Source organism: Homo sapiens, chromosome X, assembly GCF_000001405.40.
Source record: "Homo sapiens chromosome X, GRCh38.p14 Primary Assembly".
NCBI lineage: Eukaryota > Metazoa > Chordata > Mammalia > Primates > Hominidae > Homo > Homo sapiens.
In genome coordinates, this window is record NC_000023.11 from 43710891 (window position 1) to 43729485 (window position 18595).

At 44.3% G+C, this 18595-nt stretch overlaps 1 protein-coding gene across 2 annotated transcripts in view; it reads left to right on the forward strand.

Moving 5' to 3' along the window:
• Nucleotides 1-18595, forward strand: part of MAOA (monoamine oxidase A) — a 91812-nt gene that overhangs the window by 55885 nt on the left and 17332 nt on the right. For both annotated transcript variants that reach the window (NM_001270458.2, NM_000240.4), the window contains 3 exons: nt 982-1086; nt 1815-1906; nt 17283-17424. In NM_001270458.2, coding sequence (NP_001257387.1) covers nt 1075-1086; nt 1815-1906; nt 17283-17424 — 246 coding nt within the window. In that variant the 5' untranslated portion in view covers nt 982-1074. The remainder of the gene's footprint in view (nt 1-981; nt 1087-1814; nt 1907-17282; nt 17425-18595) is intronic.

The window sequence follows — 18595 nt, forward strand, 5'->3', positions numbered from 1 at the left end:
GTGAGGCTGGAGGACCACACTTGAGGATGAGCAAAGAGCATGAGAGCTCTGGCAAGTTAGGGGCAGGAACCATAGCCATAGTCTTTGTAGCAGGAAGCATCTGCTCAGCACTTGGCCATGGGGAAAGAAAACCCACAGTCTACTTTCTTCTCTATGTGGGTGACCCACTCCATGGTCAGAGTCCTCTGAGAGTGTATGACTGGCCAAGCTCAGATAACAGGCTCACAGCCAGGCTATACCAGGAGCTGGGGGTAGGGGTGTAGAGATAAAAAAAAAAAATCTATCATTTTCTGTAATGGGAGCTGGTAGCTGGGACCATCCTGCCTACACAGCTATACAGAAAAGAAGAGAGACAATTTCCCAGAAAGAAACCAGGATACTACCAGGAAAGGGGAATGGATGCTCGGCAGGCCCACAGTGGCAAGTGCCTGATATTCCACACTGCTAATAATCTGATTCTTTACATCAGGCATAGTCTGTAGTCTAGCCAGTCTTTATTAAGCCTTTGTAGACTTTAAAACACAGTATAAGACATTCCACTTTGCTATTCTTGTCCTATATGTGGTCTAAAGACAGTCCTCCACGTCATCATCCTGCTCTCGTCTAAGTGGGAACAGCTTTCTCAAGAGATTAGATGGGAATTCAGGAGTTGAGAATATTGTAGCACCAGTATTAGATACTAGGATATGCTACCTTTATTTATGCATAATTTCCAAATAAATAGAAATAAATTTAAAGCTATTATTTACTGTAAATTAAAACCAGCCAACACAGCACCAGGGAGATTCTGCACATTTTATTAAATTGGGGCCTGTATAGGTATAATGTATTCAGTTGCCATCAAAGGTAATGTTTCTGACACAGTAGAGGGTCTGGTTACTTTGCAAGTCTTAGGTTGGTTGCTTTTTTGTTGTTTTAGAACACCATTCAAATTTAAGATATTACTCTTTTTGATTGATTCTGTTTGCTTTTATGTTCTAGGGGAAAACATATCCATTTCGGGGCGCCTTTCCACCAGTATGGAATCCCATTGCATATTTGGATTACAATAATCTGTGGAGGACAATAGATAACATGGGGAAGGAGGTAAAATGTGTGTTCAGTTTGCACATGACCCATTACTGAAATAACAATGGCAACTGTTTAATATCCTTCCATAGTGCAGGGAACATTGCTCTGGACACCAATGCATATCATTTCCCATGTACCCAAACTGCAAAGTTGGTCGTATTTCCACTTCACAAATGGAAAAATGAGTGCCCAGAGATTATGTAATTTACTCAAGACCTCATAGCAAGGGAACCAGCATACCAACCCACTCTCTTATACAAATGCCTGTGTGCCTTCAACTCTATGCTACTGAGCATTTATATGACATATTTTTGCCAAGTATCTCTACTTACAGTTGTCTGTCTGTCTGTAATGCCATTTTAGATAGTAAAGGAGAGAAGGACTTGCTGCCCCAAAGCTTCTTTACTTAGTCTTAGGCTCTGTAATATCAATTTGGGACATAAAATGGTTATTAGCTTTCAATAACAATGATGATGATAATTGTCATCATTATAATAATTACATATAAATTTGTACATAGACATATATAATATTATCACTACTATTATTGTTTTGGCAATGGCATTAGGACACAGAATCCAAAGAACTCTACCCCACTCCCTGTCTCTATATAGAATTCTATGCCAATCACACATTTCAACACAGAGACCAAGAGACCCATTTTCAGAGGTTTTCATGAGGGCCTTCCCGAGAAGAGGTGGCAGTTACCATCAAACCTGAGAGGGGACTTCCTTTCTCTACAGATTCCAACTGATGCACCCTGGGAGGCTCAACATGCTGACAAATGGGACAAAATGACCATGAAAGAGCTCATTGACAAAATCTGCTGGACAAAGTAAGTAGACTTGACCATTCAAAATTTACTTTTTATCTTCCCTTCTCGTCTTTTATATCTTGCCTTGAACTGCAGTGCTTTTCTTAACAACTTACAGAAAAAAAGAGGAAACCTAGTAATCTTTCAGTCAATAGCAATGTTGAGGGCACCTCAAAGTAGGTTAGAACAGAAAATGAATCTAAAAATTAAGAAAAGTGGGTGAATGAAGTAGAACTTCTTTTAATGAAAGCATTGTGTGATCTGCAATAAAATCAATAATTGTGTTTTCATATTATTGAAAGGTTGCCTACAAAAGCAGTTTGAAAAGATATTTTTTAAAAATGTGGTACATTTACACCATGGAATACTATGCAGCCATAAAAAAGAATGAAATCATGTCCTTTTCAGGGACATGGATGAAGCTGGAAGCCATCATTCTCAGCAAACTAACACAGGAACAGAAAACCAAACATCGCATGTTCTCACTCATAAGTGGGAATTGAACATTAAGAAGACATGGATGCAGGGAGGGGAACAACACACACTGGAGCCTGTCAGGTGGTGGGAGGAGGGAGAGCATCACGATAGATAACTAATGCATGTGGGTCTTAATACCTAGGTGATGGGTTGATGGGTGCAGCAAACCACTATGGCACATGTTTACCTATCTAATAAACCTGCACATGTACTCCGGAATTTAAAATAAAATAAAATGGTAATCCCATATAGATGTGGAATACTAGGAAATGAGAGGAAAGCTAGTCTGTAGTAATAAAAATGTTCAATTAGACCATGTCTTATTAGTTTATGTGGGGCTTACTATGTGAAGGCACCATACCAGGCACTGAGGAATGGGGGTGAACTTCTTAGGAATAGCCCCTACCCTCATGGAGTTTATGTTTTTCTAGCAGGCAAGACTGACCTTGAGCACAATTACATAATGCTAGGAGAGTTCCTGTAACAGGGAGAACCTTACATGGTCTGAGGGTACAGGAAGCATTCTTTGATGAAGCAATCTTTAACCTGAAACTAAGGAGTTAGTGCATCAACTAAGAATGAGCCATCGGGGCAGGGGGGAGTCAGAAAAGGTGAACAGTGTAGGGCGATGGTATCTTCCAGGAATGATACACAGGGACAGGAGAGAGAAAGGAAGAATGGATGAAGTTGGGGGGATAGTATCTGCCAGGAATAAGTCATGGGGCAGGAGAAAGACAGGAAGGGTGGATGGTGTGGTAGAAATCGTACCTTCCAGGAGTAACCCATAGGGTTGATAGTAGTGGGGCAGATGGTATGATCTAAGAATGACACACAGTGTCAAAGGGAGAGAGGGAAGGTTGGACAGTGGTGGTGGGAGGAGGGAATGATATCTTCCAAAAATTACCCACAAGGGCAAGAAGGGAGAAAGGGATAATGGAGAAAGATGGGTGGTGTTTTAGGAAAGACCCACAGAAACAAGGCGAGATGGGGACTGGAAGGGTGGATGGCATTGGGGGATTTTGTCTTCTAGGAATGAGCCACAGGGATTAGGGGGAGATAGGAAGGACTGATGGGGCAGGAAGATAGTATGTTCCAGGTATGATCCACAGGTTCAGAGGGGAGAAAAGTATAGTGGATGGTGTTTGCCATGGATGAACCACCAGGATAGTGGGGGAGACAGAAAAGGTTGATGGTGTGGTGGGATGGTATCTTTTATGAATGACCCAAAGGGGCAAAGGGAAGGCAGGAAAGATGGATGTTGCGGGGATATCATCCACCAACAACCCAGAGGTGTAGTGGGGAGACAGGAGGTGTAGATGGTATTACCAGGATATGTCTTCCAGAAATGAGCCACAAAGGCAGGGATAAGATAGGAAGAGTGAATGGTGTGGCCTGGTTGCATCTTCCAGGAATGCCCCCACAGTGTTAGGGAGTGGGGAACAAGAATGGATCCCTGTGGGGGTATGGTATCTTCTAGGAATAGCCCACAGAGTCAAGGGGAAACAGGCAACATTAGGTAGTGTGTGTGTGTGGTGGGGAAATGGGGCGGGGGTGGGGTGGGGAGAATGAAATTTTCCAGCTATTTCTCTCTCTCTGGGGAGAGAAAGGGAAGGTTGGTTTGTGTGGATGGAGATGGTATCTTCTAGGAATTACCCAAACCAGAAGGGTGGATGTCTTAGGGGAAGGGGAATTTTCCAGCAATGACCCAGAGGGATGGTGGGGAGACAGGAAACATAGATGGTGAGGCAAGATGATGTATTCCAGAAATGACCCACAGGGCAAGGGGTAGATACAAAGGTGGATGGGGTGAGGGAGATGGTCTCTTCCAGTTATGACCCACAAGGGTAGAGGGGACACAGATGGTGTAGATCATTTGGCAAAATGGAATTTTCCAGGAATGGTCCACAGGGAAGAGGGTACATAGGAAGGTTTGGTGGTGTGGCAGGATGGTATCTTCCAGGAATGAGCTACACTGGCAGTGGTAGGGGGGAGAAAGGAAGGGTGGATGGTGAGGGGTCATGGTTTCTTCCAAGAATGACTCATAGGATTGTACAGGAATGACCCAGAGGGGTAGCGCAGAGAGAGGAAACATGACTGGTGTGGCAGGATATACCTTCCAGGAATGGTCTACAGGAGCTAGGGGATGCAGGGAAGATGGGCTTGTTTGCAGGCATGGTTCTTCCTGGAGTAACCCAAAGGGTCAGGGGTGAGACAGCAAGGGTGGATATTGGGCCGCGGATAACTTCCAGCAATGACCAAAAGAGATGGGAGGAGACAGGAAGTGTGGAAGGTGACCAGGATGGTATTTCCAGGAATGACCCTCAAGAGTTGGGAGAGACAAGTAGGATAGATGATTTGATGGAGTGGTATCTTCCAGGAATGAACCAAAGGGGCAGAAGAAAACATGGTACATTGTGTTTAGAGAGATGGAATCTTCCAGGAATGAGTTACCCTGGTGGTGTTTTCGGGGACATGGAAAGGGTGGGGATAGTATCTTCCAGGATGACCCACAAGGCCAAGGGGGGAGACAGGACAGGGTGGATACTGTGTTTGTAGGGGGAGGGCATGTTACTTCTCAGGGATGTGACACAGGCACTGTGGGGACACAGAGAAGGGTAGATGTTTTGTGGAGGAGGTGGTCTCATCCCGAAATGACCCAGAGGGTTTAGAAAGGTGTAGCAGGATGGTATCTTCCAGGAATGAGCCACACGGTTGGTGGCGGGGGAAGATGGGTGGTATAGAGAGATGGTATCTTCCAGGAATGACCCACAGGGGCAAGGGGGTGACCTGAAGGGTAAAGGTTGTGAAGGGGGATATCTTCCAGTAATCACCCAAAGGGGTAGGGGGAGATAGGAAGAAAAGATAGTGAGGCAGGATGATATTTTCTAAGAATGGTCTTCAGAATGTGTGGGGTTAAGTAAACAGGAAAGGTGGATGGTGTAGGAAGATCGTATCTTCCAGGAATGAGCCACCGAGGTTGGGGTGAGACAGGTAGGTGGATGGTTTTGTAGAATGGTATTTTCCAGGAATGAGCCACAGGGCAGGGGGTAGATATAAAGGATGGATGGTATGGGGGAGATGGTATCTTCCAGGAATGAACTACAAAATTGAGGAAGGAGGGGAATGATGGATGAGCTAGGTGGATGGGATCTGCCAGGATGGCCCACAGAGCCAAAAGAAAGACAAGGCAGAGTGGATAATGTAGGGGAAATAGTATCTTCCAGGAATATCACACAGGCAATGCAGGGAGGCAGGAAAGGGTAGATGTTTTGGTGAGGGAGTGGTATCATCCCCAAATGACCCAGAGTGGTAGAGGGGAGATAGGATAGTTGAATGACAGGATAGTATCTTCCAGGAATGAGCCACGGTGACAGTGGTGGGGGTGGGAGACAGTAAGAGTGTATGTGGATGGTATCTTCCACGAATGACCCACAGAAGTCAGGGAAATAAGTTTAGGCAAATGGTATCTCCTAGGAATGTGCCAAAAGGGTAGTGGTGGGGGGAGATGGGAATGGTGGATATTGTGGAAGTGATATCATACAGGAATGAGCCAGAGGGGGTAGTGAGGAGTCAGGAATCATGAATGGTGTGGCAGGATATATTTTCAAGGAATGACCCACATGGGCTAAGGGGACACAGGGAATGTTGGCCTGACTGGGGACATGGTATCTTCCTGGAGTGACTCAAAGGGTTGGGGGAAGATAAGAAGGGTGGATGTTGTGGGGAATACATTCCAACAATGACACAGAAGGATGGGGCGAGACACAAAGTGGTTAAGGTGAGGCAGGATGGTATTTTCCAGGTATGACCCACAAGGTTGGGAGAGTAAGAAAGATGAGTGATGGTGGGGGGAAATGGTATCTTCCAGGATAACCCTCAGGGGTAAGGGTAAACAGGACAAGGTGGATAGTGTTGAAGGGGTTATATCTTTCAGGAATGTGACTAAGTCTCTGGGGGGAAACAGGGAAGGGTAGATGTTTTGTGAGGGAGTGATACCAAAATGACCCAGAGGAATAGTAGGGAAATAGGACAGTTGCATGGCATGTCAGGATGGTATCTTCCAGAAATGAGTCACACTGGTGGTGGCGGAAAGAGACAAGAAAGGTGGATGTTATCATTCAAGATGATATCATTCAAGAATTACCCAGAGGAATAGGGGAGAGACAGGAAGCCTGACTGGTGTGGCAGGGTATATTTTCTGGGAATGAGCCACAGGTGTGGGAGAAGACAGTCAGGGTAGATGGTTTGGTGGAATGAAATCTTCCAGGAATGACCCACAGGGTCATGGGGGAAAATTGAAGGGTAGACATTGTGGATGGAGATATCTTCCAGCAATGACCCAGAGGGATGGGGGAGACAGGAAATGATAATGGTGCAGCAGGATGGTATCCTCCAGGATTGAGCCACACTGGTGGGGTTGTGGGGGTCATGGTATCTTCCATGAATGACCCACTGGGGTCGAGGGAAGACTGGTAGGGTAGATGGTTTGGCGGAATGTTATTTTACAGGAATGACCCACAGGGCAGAAGGTAGATAGGAAGGATGGATACAGTAGAAGAGATGGTATGTTCCAGTAATGAGCTATAGAATTTGGGGAGGGGGGGAATGATGGATGAGGTAGGGAGATGGTATCTTCCAGGATGACCCACAGAGCCAAGGGGGAGACAAGGCAGACTGTATAATATAAGGGGTATAGTATCTTTCAGGAGTGTGAACCAAGCACTGCAAGGAGGCAGGGAAGGGTAGATGTTTTAGGAAGAAGGTGGTATCATCCCAAGATAACCAAGAGGATAACAGGAAAATAGAATGGTTAGATGGTGTGGCAGGATGGTATCTTCCAGAAATGAGCCAAATGACAGTGGTGGGGGTGGCAGAAGGTATGGGTGGATGGTATCTTCCAAGAATGATTCACAGAGGCAGGGGGTGGCAGAAGGTATGGGTGGATGGTATCTTCCAAGAATGATTCACAGAGGCAGGGGGAGACAGGGTACATTGGGTTTAGAGAGATGGTGTCTTCCAGGAATGAGACACCTGGGTAGTAGTGGGGGAGACAGGGTACATTGGGTTTAGAGAGATGGTGTCTTCCAGTAATGAGACACCTGGGTAGTAGTGGGGGAAAACAGGAAGGGTTGAAGTGTGGGGGGATGATATCATCCTGGAATGAGCCAGAGGATTAGTGTTGGGGGGGTTATATCAGGAATGTGACAAAGGCTCTGCGGGGAAACAGGGAAGCCTAGATGTTTTAGGGACGGTGTGGTATCACCCCGAAATGATCAGAGGGGTAGTGGGGAGATACAACGGTTGCATGGCGTGGCAGGATGGTATCTTCCAGGAATGAGTCACACTATGGGTGGTGGGGGAGACCATCAGGGGGATGTTGGCTGGCATGGTATCGTTGTGGAATGACCCAGAGGGACAGGGCAGAGAGAGAAAGCATGAATGGTGTGGCAGGATATATTTTCCAGGAATGAGTCACAGGGGCAGTAGGGAAACATGAAGAGTAGATGGTGAGGTGGGATGGTACCGCCCAGGAATGGTCCACAGGAGCTAGGGGATGCAGAGAACATTGGCTTGTTGGCAGGCATGGTTTTTCCTGTAGTGACCCAAAGGGTTGGGAGTGGTGGGGGAGATAACTTCCATCCACGACCCAGAGGAGAGGGAGTAGACAGGAAGTGTGGAAGATGACCACGATGGTATCTTCCAGGGATGACCCAAAGGGGCAGAGGGACACAGGGTGGATTGTGTTTTGAGAGATGGTGTCTTCTAGGAATGAGCCACCCTGGTGGTGCCTGGGGGGACACAGGAAGAGGTATGTGGAGATGGCATCTTCCTGGATGACCCAAAGGGGAAAGGGGGAGACAAGGCAAGGTGGAAGTGTTGGGGGAGGTGTGACAGTATCTTTCAGGAATGTGGTATAGTCACTGTGGGGAAACAGGGAAGGCTAGATGTGGTTATATCATCTCGAAATGACCCAGAGGGGTAGAGGGAAATAGGAAGGTTGCATGGTGTGGCAAGATGGTATCTTCCAGGAATGAGGCACACTGGCAGTAGTGGGGGTGGAGACAGGATGGAAGGTGGATGTGGATGGTATTTTCCTGGTGTGACCCGCAGGGGCAGTAGGTAACAGTGGATTGGGTTTAGAGAGATGGTGTCTTCCAGCAATCTGCCACAAGGGTGGTTAGAGGTCCGGGGGATACCGGAAGGGTGGATGGTGTAGCAGGATGGTATCTTCCAGGAATAAACCCTGGCAGGTGGGTGTTTTGGGGGAATTGTGTCTTCCAGGAATGGACCATAGGGGTAGATGGGAGACAGGTAGGGTATGACAGAATGATATTTTCCAGGCATGACCCACAGGGCAGGGGATAGAGAAGAAGGATGAATGTTGCATTGGAGATGGTATCTTCCAGGAATGAACTACGGAATTGGGGAAGCGGGGGAATGATGGATGACGTAGGGGAATGGGATCTTCCAGGATGGCTCAGAGATCCCAGAGGGAGTCAAGGCAGGGTAAATAATGTAAGAGGGGATAGTATCTTTCAGGAATATGACACAGGCACTATAGGGTAGACGTTTTGGGGAGGAGGCGGTATCATCCTGAAATGACCCGGAGGGGTAGTGGGGAAACAGGAAGGTTGGATTGTGTGGCAGGATGGTATCTTCCAGGAATGAACCACACTGGTGGTGCTTCGAGGGGGACACAGGACCGGGGATGTTATCTAACAAAATGACTGACAGGGAAGAGTAGATAGTTCTGTGTAGGGGTATAGTATCTTTCAGGAACGTGACACAGGCACTGCGGGGAGACAGGGAAGGGTAGATGTCTTAGGGAGTGGGTGGTATCATCCAGATATGACTCAGGAGTAGGGGGGAAATAGAAAGGTTGGATGGTGTGGCAATATGGTATCTTCCAGGAATGAACCACACAGGTGGTGACTGGGGGAGGCAGGAAAGGTGGGTGGTGTTAGGGGATGGTGTCTTCTAGGAATGACCTACAGGAGAAGGGGGAGACAGGGTGGATTGGCTTTGGAGAGGGCCACAGGTGCGGTGGCTGGGGAGACAAGAAGGGCAGATGGTGTGGAAGGATGGTATCTTCCAGAAACAACCCACAGGGATACAGGGAGACAGGGGTTTAGAGAGATGGTATCTTCCAGGAATGAGCCACATGGGAAGTGGTAGGGAGAGACAGGAAGGATGGACGTTGTGGGGGGTGGTATTCGGGAATGACATAGCTGGGAATGGGGGAAACAGGAAACAGGAATGCTGTAGCAAGATACATCTTCCAGGAATGAGCCACGAGGGCTTGAGGGGAGACATTATGATTGGATAGTGTTGGTACATGGTATATTCAAGGAATTAGCCATAGGTTTAGAGGGGAGACAGCAAGAGTAGATGGTGTAGAGAGGATGATATCTGCCTCTAATGGCCCACAGGTGCACGGGGGAGATAGGGGAGATTAGATAGTGTTGGGGGAATTATATCTTCCGGGAATGTGACACAGGCTCTGGAAGAGATGGTGAAGGTGGAATTTGGTTGTGGGGTGGGGGAGGGGGGAGGTAATGATATCCCCAAATCACCCATAGTATTAGGGTGGCAATAGGAAGATTGGATGGTGTAGGCAGATGGTATCTACTAGGAATGACTTTCAGAGTCAGTGGGGACATGTGAAGATAGAAAATGTGTTTGCAGAGATACTGTCTTCTAGGAATGAGACACACTTGCTGAGGGGAGGCAGGGAAGGGTGTATGTTTTGGGGGCAATGGTGCCATCCAGAAATGAACCAGAGGAGTAGGGGATAGACAGGAAGAGTCAATGGTATGTGGCAGGATGCTACCTTCCAGAAATGACCCACAGGTATGTGGGGAGATAGGAAAGGTTGGATGATGTGGGAAGAATGGTATCTTTCAAGAATGACTCAAAGTTCTCAGGGGAATGGGGAGACAGGGACGGGTAGATGATGTACAGTGATGGAATCTTCTAGGCATAGAGGACAGGGACAAGCTTTTGTGAAGGCCTTGAGGTGAGAAGGATATTGGCATGTTTGAGCAACTGAGTGGACAGTGTAGCTGGACCATAGTGATGACAAGAGCAAGTGGTATAAGGGGAGTTTGCAGGACTGGTCTAGAGGCTGATAGTGCAGGATCTATGGGCCACATTGAATATTTGTCCTTTCTCCACTGAAGATCGTTGAAAGGTTTTAAGCAGAGGGTTTTTTGAGTTTGGCACTTTTAAAAGCCCTCATTGGCTATAGTGTGGAGGATACAAGAGGAGATGCAAGATGACCAAGTAGGAGCCACCACTGCTATAGCCTGGACATATTGGTAGCCTGGACCAGGGCTGTGGCAATGAAGATGGAGAGGAGAAGATGGGTATTGAAAGAAGCTTATTGATGCTTAGAGAGAACCTGGATTAGCATACTTGGAGCTAACTCATAATTTCTTTTTTTTTTTTTAATTATACTTTAAGTGCTGGGGTACATGTGTACAACATGCAGGTTTGTTACATAGGTATCCATGTGCCATGTTGGTTTGCTACACCCATCAACTCGTCATTTACATTAGGCATTTCTCCTAATGCTATCCCTCCCTGAGCCCCCCATCCCCTGACAGGCCCTGGTGTGTGATGTTCCCCTCCCTGTGTCCATGTGTTCTCGTTGTTCAACTCTCACTTATGAGTGAGAACATGCGGTGTTTGGTTTTCTCTTATTGTGTTACTTTGCTGAGAATGATGGTTTCCAGTTTCATCCACGTCCCTGCAAAGGACATGAACTCATCCTTTTTTTATGGCTGCATAGTATTCCATGGTGTATATGTGCCACATTTTCTTCATCCAGTCTATTATTGATGGGCATTTGGGTTGGTTCCAAGACTTTGCTATTGTTAACAGTGCTGCAATAAACATATGTGTGCATGTGTCTTTATAGTAGAATGATTTATAATTCTTTGGGTATATACCCAGTAATGGGATTACTGTGTCAAATGGTATTTCTAGTTCCAGATCCTTGAGGAATCACCATACTGTCTTCCATAATGGTTGAACTAATTGACACTCCCACCAACATTGTAAAAGCGTTCCTATTTCTCCACATCCTCTCCAGCATCTGTTGTTTCCTGACTTTTTAATGGTTGCCATTCTAACTGTCATGAGATGGTATCTATTGTGGTTTTGATTTGCATTTCTCTAATGACCAGTGATGATGAACATTTTTTCATAAGTTTTTTGGCTGCATAAATGTCTTCTTTTGAGAAGTGTCTGTTCATATCCTTTGCCCATTTTTTGATAGGGTTGTTTCTTTCTTGTAAATTTGTTTAGGTTCGTTGTAGATTCTGGATATTAGCCCTTTGTCAGATGGGTAGATTACAAAAATTTTCTCCCATTCTGTAGGCTGCCTGTTAATTCTGATAATAATTTATTTTGCTGTGCCAAAGCTCTTTAGTTTAATTAGATCCCATTTGTCTGTTTTGGCTTTTGTTGCTATTGCTTTTGGTGTTTTAGTTATGAAGTCTTTGTCCATCCCTATGTCCTGAATGGTATTGCCTAGGTTTTCTTCTAGGGTTTTTATGGTTTTAAGTTATACGTTTAAATCTTTAATCCATCTCGAGTTAATTTTCGTATAAAGTGTAAGGAAGGGATCCAATTTCAGCTTTCTGCATATGGCTAGCCAGTTTTCCCAGCACTATTTATTAAATAGGGAATCCTTTCCCTGTTGCTTGTTTTTGTCAGTTTGTCAAAGATCAAATGGTTGTAGATGTGTGGTGTTATTTCTGAGGCCTCTGTTCTGTTCCATTGGTCTATATATATCTGTTTTGGTACCAGTACCATGCTGTTTTGGTTACTGTAACCTTGTAGTATAGTTTGAAGTCAGGTAACGTGATGCCTCCAGCTTTGTCCTTTTTGCTTAGGATTGTCTTGGCTATGCGGGCTCTTTTTTTGGTTCCATATGAAGTTTAAAGTAGTTTTTTCCAATTCTGTGAAGAAAGTCAGTGGTAGCTTGATGGGGATAGCACTGAATCTATAAATTACTTTGGGCAGTATGGCCATTTTCGTGATATTGATTCTTCCTATCCATGAGCATGGAATGTTCTTCCATTTGTTTGTGCCCTCTTTTATTGCGTTGAGAAGTGGTTTGTAGTTCTCCTTAAAGAGGTCCTTCACATCCCTTATAAATTGGATTCGTAGGTATGTTATTCTCTTTGTAGCAATTGTGAATAGGAGTTCACTCATGATTTGGCTCTCTGTCTGTTATTGGTGTATAGGAATGCTTGTGATTTTTGCACATTGATTTTGTATCCTGAGACTTTGCTGAAGTTGCTTATCAACTTAAGGAGATTTTGGGCTGAGACGATGGGGCTTTCTAAATATATAATCATGTCATCTGCAAACAGAGACAGTTTGACTTCCTCTCTTCCTAATTGAATACCTTTATTTCTTTCTCTTGTGTGATTGGCCTGGTCAGAACTTCCAATACTATGTTGAATAGGAGTGGTGAGAGAGGGCATCCTTGTGCCAGTTTTCAAAGGGAATGCTTCCAGTTTTTGCTCATTCAGTATGATATTGGCTGTGGGTTTGTCATAAATAGCTCTTATTATTTTGAGATACGTTCCATCAATACCTAGTTTATGGAGAGTTTTTAGCATGAAGGGCTGTTGAATTTTGTCCAAGGCCTTTTCTGCATCTATTGAGATAATCTTGTGGTTTTTGTCATTGGTTCTGTTTATGTGACGGATTACGTTTATTGATTTGTATATGTTGAACCAGCCTTGCATCCCAGGAAGGAAGCTGACTTGATCTTGGTGGATACGCTTTTTGATGTGCTGCTGGATTTGGTTTGCTAGTATTTTATTGAGGATTTTCGCATCAATGTTCATCAGGGATATTGGCCTGAAATTCTCTTTTTTTGTTGTGTCTCTGCCAGGTTTTGGTATCAGGATGATGCTGGCCTCATAAAATGAGTTAGGGAGGATCCCCTCTTTTTCTATTGATTGGAATAGTTTCAGAAGGAATGGTACCAGCTCCTCCTTGTACCTCTGGTAGAATTCAGCTGTGAATCCATCTGGTCCTAGATTTTTTTTGTTGGTAGGCTATTAATTACTGCCTCAATTTCAGAACCTGTTATTGGTCTATTCAGAGATTCAACTTCTTCCTGGTTTAGTCTTGGGAGGGTGTATGTGTCCAGGAATTTATCCATTTCTTCTAGATTTTCTAGTTTATTTGCATAGAGGTGTTTATAGTATTCTCTGTTGGTAGTTTGTATTTCTATGGGATTGGTGGTGATATCCCCTTTTTCTTTTTTTATTGTGTATATTTGATTCTTCTCTCTTTTCTTTATTAGTCTTGCTAGTGGTCTATTTTGTTGATCTTTTCAAAAAACCAGCTCCTGGATTCACTGATATTTTTGAAGGGTTTTTTGTGTCTCTGTCTCCTTCAGTTCTGCTCTGATCTTAGTTATTTCTTGTCTTCTGCTAGCTTTTGAATTTGTTTGCTCTTGCTTCTCTAGTTCTTTTAATTGTGATATTAGGGTGTCAGTTTTAGATCTTCCCTGCTTTCTCTTTTGGGCATTTAGTGCTATAAATTTTCTTCTACACACTGCTTTAAATGTGTCCCAGAGATTCTGGTACGTTGTGTCTTTGTTCTCATTCGTTTCAAAGAACATCTTTATTTCTGTCTTCATTTTGTTAATTACTCAGTAGTCATTCAAGAGCAGGTTGTTCAGTTTCCAAGTAGTTGTGCGGTTTTGAGTGAGTTTCTTCATCCTGAGTTCTAATTTGATTGCACTGTGGTCTGACAGACAGTTCGTTGTGATTTCTGTACTTTTACATTTGCTGAGGAGTGTTTTACTTCCAATTATGTGGTCATTTTAGAGTAAGTGTGATGTGGTACTGAGAAGAATGTATACTCTCTTGATTTGGGGTGGAGAGTTCTGTAGATGTCTGTTAGGTCCACTTGGTCCAGAGCTGAATTCAAGTCCTGAATATCCTTGTTAATTTTTGTCTTGTTGATCTAATGCTGACAGTGGGGTATTAAAGTCTCCCACCGTTATTGTGTGGGAGTCTAAGTCTCTTTGTAGGTCTCTAAGAACTTGCTTTACGAACCTGGATGTTCCTGTATTGGGTGCATATGTATTTAGGATAGTTAGCTCTTCTCGTTGCATTGATCCCTTTACAGTTATGTAATGCCCTTCTTTGTCTCTTTTGACCTTTGTTCGTTTAAAGTCTGTTTTATCAGAGACTAAGATTACAACCCCTGCTTTTTTTTTTTGCTTTCCATCTGGTTGGTAAATATTCCTCCATCCCTTTATTTTGAGCCTATGTGTGTCTTTGCATGTGAGATGGGTCTTCCAAATACAGCACACCGATGGGTCTTGACTCTTTAGCCAGTTTGCCAGTCTGTGTCTTTTAATTGGGGCATTTAGCCCATTTACATTTAAGGTTGATATTGTTATGTGTGAATTTGATCCTATCATTTTGATGCTAGCTGGTTATTTTTCCCGCTAGTTGATGCAGTTTCTTCATAGCATCAATGGTCTTTACAATTTGGCATGTTTTTGCAGTGGCTGGTACTGGTTGTCCTTTCCATGTTTAGTGCTTCCTTCAGGAGCTCTTGCAAGGCAGGCCTGGTGGTAACAAAATCTCTCAGCATTTGCTTGTCTGTAAAGGATTTTATTTCTCCTTCATTTATGAAACTTAGTTTGGCTGGATATGAAATTCTGGGTTGAAAATTCTTTTCTTTAAGAATGTTGAATATTGGCCCCCACTCTCTTCTGGCTTGTAGGGTTTCTGCTGAGAGATCTGCTGTTAGTCTGATGGGTCTTCCTTTGTGGGTAACTCGACCTTTCTGTCTGGCTGCCCTTAACATTTTTTTCCTTCATTTCAACCTTGGTGAATCTGACAATTATGTGTCTTGGGGTTGCTCTTTTCGAGGAATATCTTTGTGATGTTTTCTGTATTTCCTGAATTTGAATGTTGGCCTGCCTTGCTAGGTTAGGGAAATTCTCCTGGATAATATTCTGAAGAGTGTTTTCCAAGTTGGTTCCATTCTCCCTGTCAATTTCAGGTATACCAATCAAACATAGATTTGGTCTTTTCACATAGTCCCGTATTTCTTGGAGGCTTTGTTTGTTTCTTTTCACTCTTTTTTCTCTAATCTTGTCTTCTCGCTTTATTTCATTAAGTTGATCTTCAATTACTGATATCCTTTCCTCCACTTGATCGATTCGGCTGTTGAAACTTGTGTCTGCTTCACGAAGTTCTTGTGGTGCATTTTTCAGCTCCATCAGGTCATTTATGTTCTTCTCTACACTGGTTATTCTAGTTAGCAATTCGTCTAACCTTTTTTCAAGGTTCTTAGCTTCCTTGCATTGGGTTAGAACCTGCTCCTTTAGCTCGGAGTAGTTTGTTATTACCCACCTTCTGAAGCCTACTTCTGTCAATTCATCAAACTCATTCTCTGTTCAGTTTTGTTCCCGTGCTGGCGAGGAGTTGTGATCCTTTGGAAGAGAAGAGGCGTTCTGGTTTTTGGAATTTTTCAGCCTTTCTGCACTGGTTTCTCCCCACCTTTGTGGTTTTATCTACCTTTGGTCTTTGATGTTGGTGACCTATGGATGGGGTTTCTGTGTGGATGTCCTTTTTGTTGATGTTGATGCTATTCCTTTCTGCTTGTTAGTTTTCCTTCTAACAGGCCCCTCAGCTGCAAGTCTGTTGGAGTTTGCTGGAGGTCCACTCCAGATGCTGTTTGCTGGGGTATCACCAGCAGAGGCTACAGAACAGCAACTATTGCTGCCTGATCCTTCCTCTGGAAGCTTTGTCCCAGGGGGGCACCCACCAGATGCCAGCCAGAGCTCTCCTGTATGAGGTGTCTGTTGGCCCCTACTGGGAGGTGTCTCTCAGTCAGGCTACACGGGGGTCGGGGCCCACTTGAGGCAGTCTGTCCGTTATCAGAGCTCAAACACTGTGCTGGGAGAACCACTGCTCTCTTCAGAGCTGTCAGGCAGGGACATTTAAGTCTGCTGAAGCTGCACCCCCAGCTGCCCCTTCCCCCAGGTGCTCTGGCCCAAGGAGATGGGGGTTTTATCTATAAGTCCCTGACTGGGGCTGCTGCCTTTTGTTCAGAGATGCCCTGCCCACAGAGGTGGAATCTAGAGAGGCAGTAGGCCTTGCTGAGCTGTGGTGGGGTCCGCCCAGTTCGAACTTCCTGGTGGCTTTGTTTACACTGTGAGCATAAAACTGCCTACTCAAGCCTCAGCAATGGCAGATGCACCTCTCCACACCAAGCTCGAGCATTCCAGGTCGATATCAGGCTGCTGTGCTAGCAGCGAGGATTTCAAGCCAATGGATATTAGCTTGCTGGGCTCCATGGGTGTGGGACCCACTGAGCCAGGCACCGGAGGGAATCTCCTGATCTGCCAGTTGTGAAGACTGTGGGAAAAGCGCAGTATCTGCGCAAGAGTGTACCGTTCTTCCTGGGACAGTCTCTCACAGCTTCCCTTGGCTAGGAAAAGGAAATCCCCCAACCGCTTGCACTTCCCAGGTGAGGCGATGCCCTGCCCTGCTTCGGCTTGCCCTCCATGAGCTGCACCCACTGTCCAACCAGTCCCAATGAGATGAACCAGGTACCTCAGTTGGAAACACAGAAATCACCCACCTTCTGCGCGGATCTCACTGGGAGCTGCAGACCGGAGCTGTTTCTGTTTGGCTGTCTTGCTGGACCCTTGGCTCCTTTTCAACTCATAATTTCTTAAGCAGGAGAAAATGTTAGTTTCTCCAAGAGTTAAAGAATGCATTCCTTCAGAAATTGAATCCTTGAGAGTTTTTTTCAATTGCAACAGAAAAACTTTCTGAACACACTAAATCGTGTTGTAAAAACATGACATTCTCTGACTCCTGTACATATTGACACCTGACTTCCACTTTTGTTCTATGAACAGGACTGCTAGGCGGTTTGCTTATCTTTTTGTGAATATCAATGTGACCTCTGAGCCTCACGAAGTGTCTGCCCTGTGGTTCTTGTGGTATGTGAAGCAGTGCGGGGGCACCACTCGGATATTCTCTGTCACCAATGGTGGCCAGGTATGGTGTGTATGTGTCTGTTCTGAAACAAGAGCTTCATCTGTGATTTTGCTTTCTCCCAGGGCAGTGTCTTTAATAGTTGCTTCAGGATTTTGAAACATGAATAATTAGCAGCATGAAATGATCTCAAAAGATTTTCTGAAAAAAAAATTTCTCATTTCCTTTTGTCACTCCTGAAAAGGAGTTCACAGATAAAGAATGTTTCATTTTGAATTAATTAGGTTTTGAGAATTAAGTTCCTTCCTTTTGGTAGCAGGTAAAATTAGGCTGTTTATGTAGGAGAAGCTAAATTCCTAAAATAATTTCCAAAAAATTCTAGAAATTGTACAATTATTGTACTTAAAATCATCTCTGTTCTAGACACAAGGTTTCTGTCCCATCTGTTTATCAGAGTGATTCTTTTATGTTAACTGCTACAGAAGGGAAGTGACTGTTCTTCCTTCTAATTCACGCAAGTGATTATGGCCACTCTTGCAATAGTAAATTCTGCCTTTTGGATTCTTAGTTTTTGCTACCCACTTGAATTTGCCCAGTTTCCATATCATTTCCTTTATTAATAAGTGAATTCATTTCGTTCATTGGCTGGACACATGGCGAAGCCAGAATCCTAATTCCCCAGACTCTGAGATTCTCTGCTTCAACCCTTTCTGTTATCCAAAGAGAATGGGTATCTCTGTTCTATAAATGTTGTGCTTGGATGGTATGAGGTTTAATTAGTAGCAGTTTACTTCTAACTTAGGTTCTCTGAGTTCCTGAATTCTGAGTGCACAGTACAAGGTATAGAGTCTTTCTCTGCCAAGTGAATTATTCTTCTCCTGAGGAGATCACCGGAAATCCCCAAGTTCTTGTGACACCAAGACTCATTGCCCATTTGACCCTTAGCCTTGACAAATGCAGGACAGTTGCATTTTTTAAATGTCTTTACCTACAGGCAGAGATGACAGATTACTCCTTTTAGCCAGTATTTTACTTTCTGAGGTATTTTGATTTACATTTGATATTTGTTTCCTTCATTCAGAGGAGCCAGGATACTTCTAGCCAAATTCTACATGACCTTTTGGAAAATATGGTTCAGATGATTAATCTCAAACCATGGTCACAATATTTTTATAAAGAACTTAGGCTTATCCTGTAATTTAATTCAACAAATACTAGACCTGGAGGGGTGGAC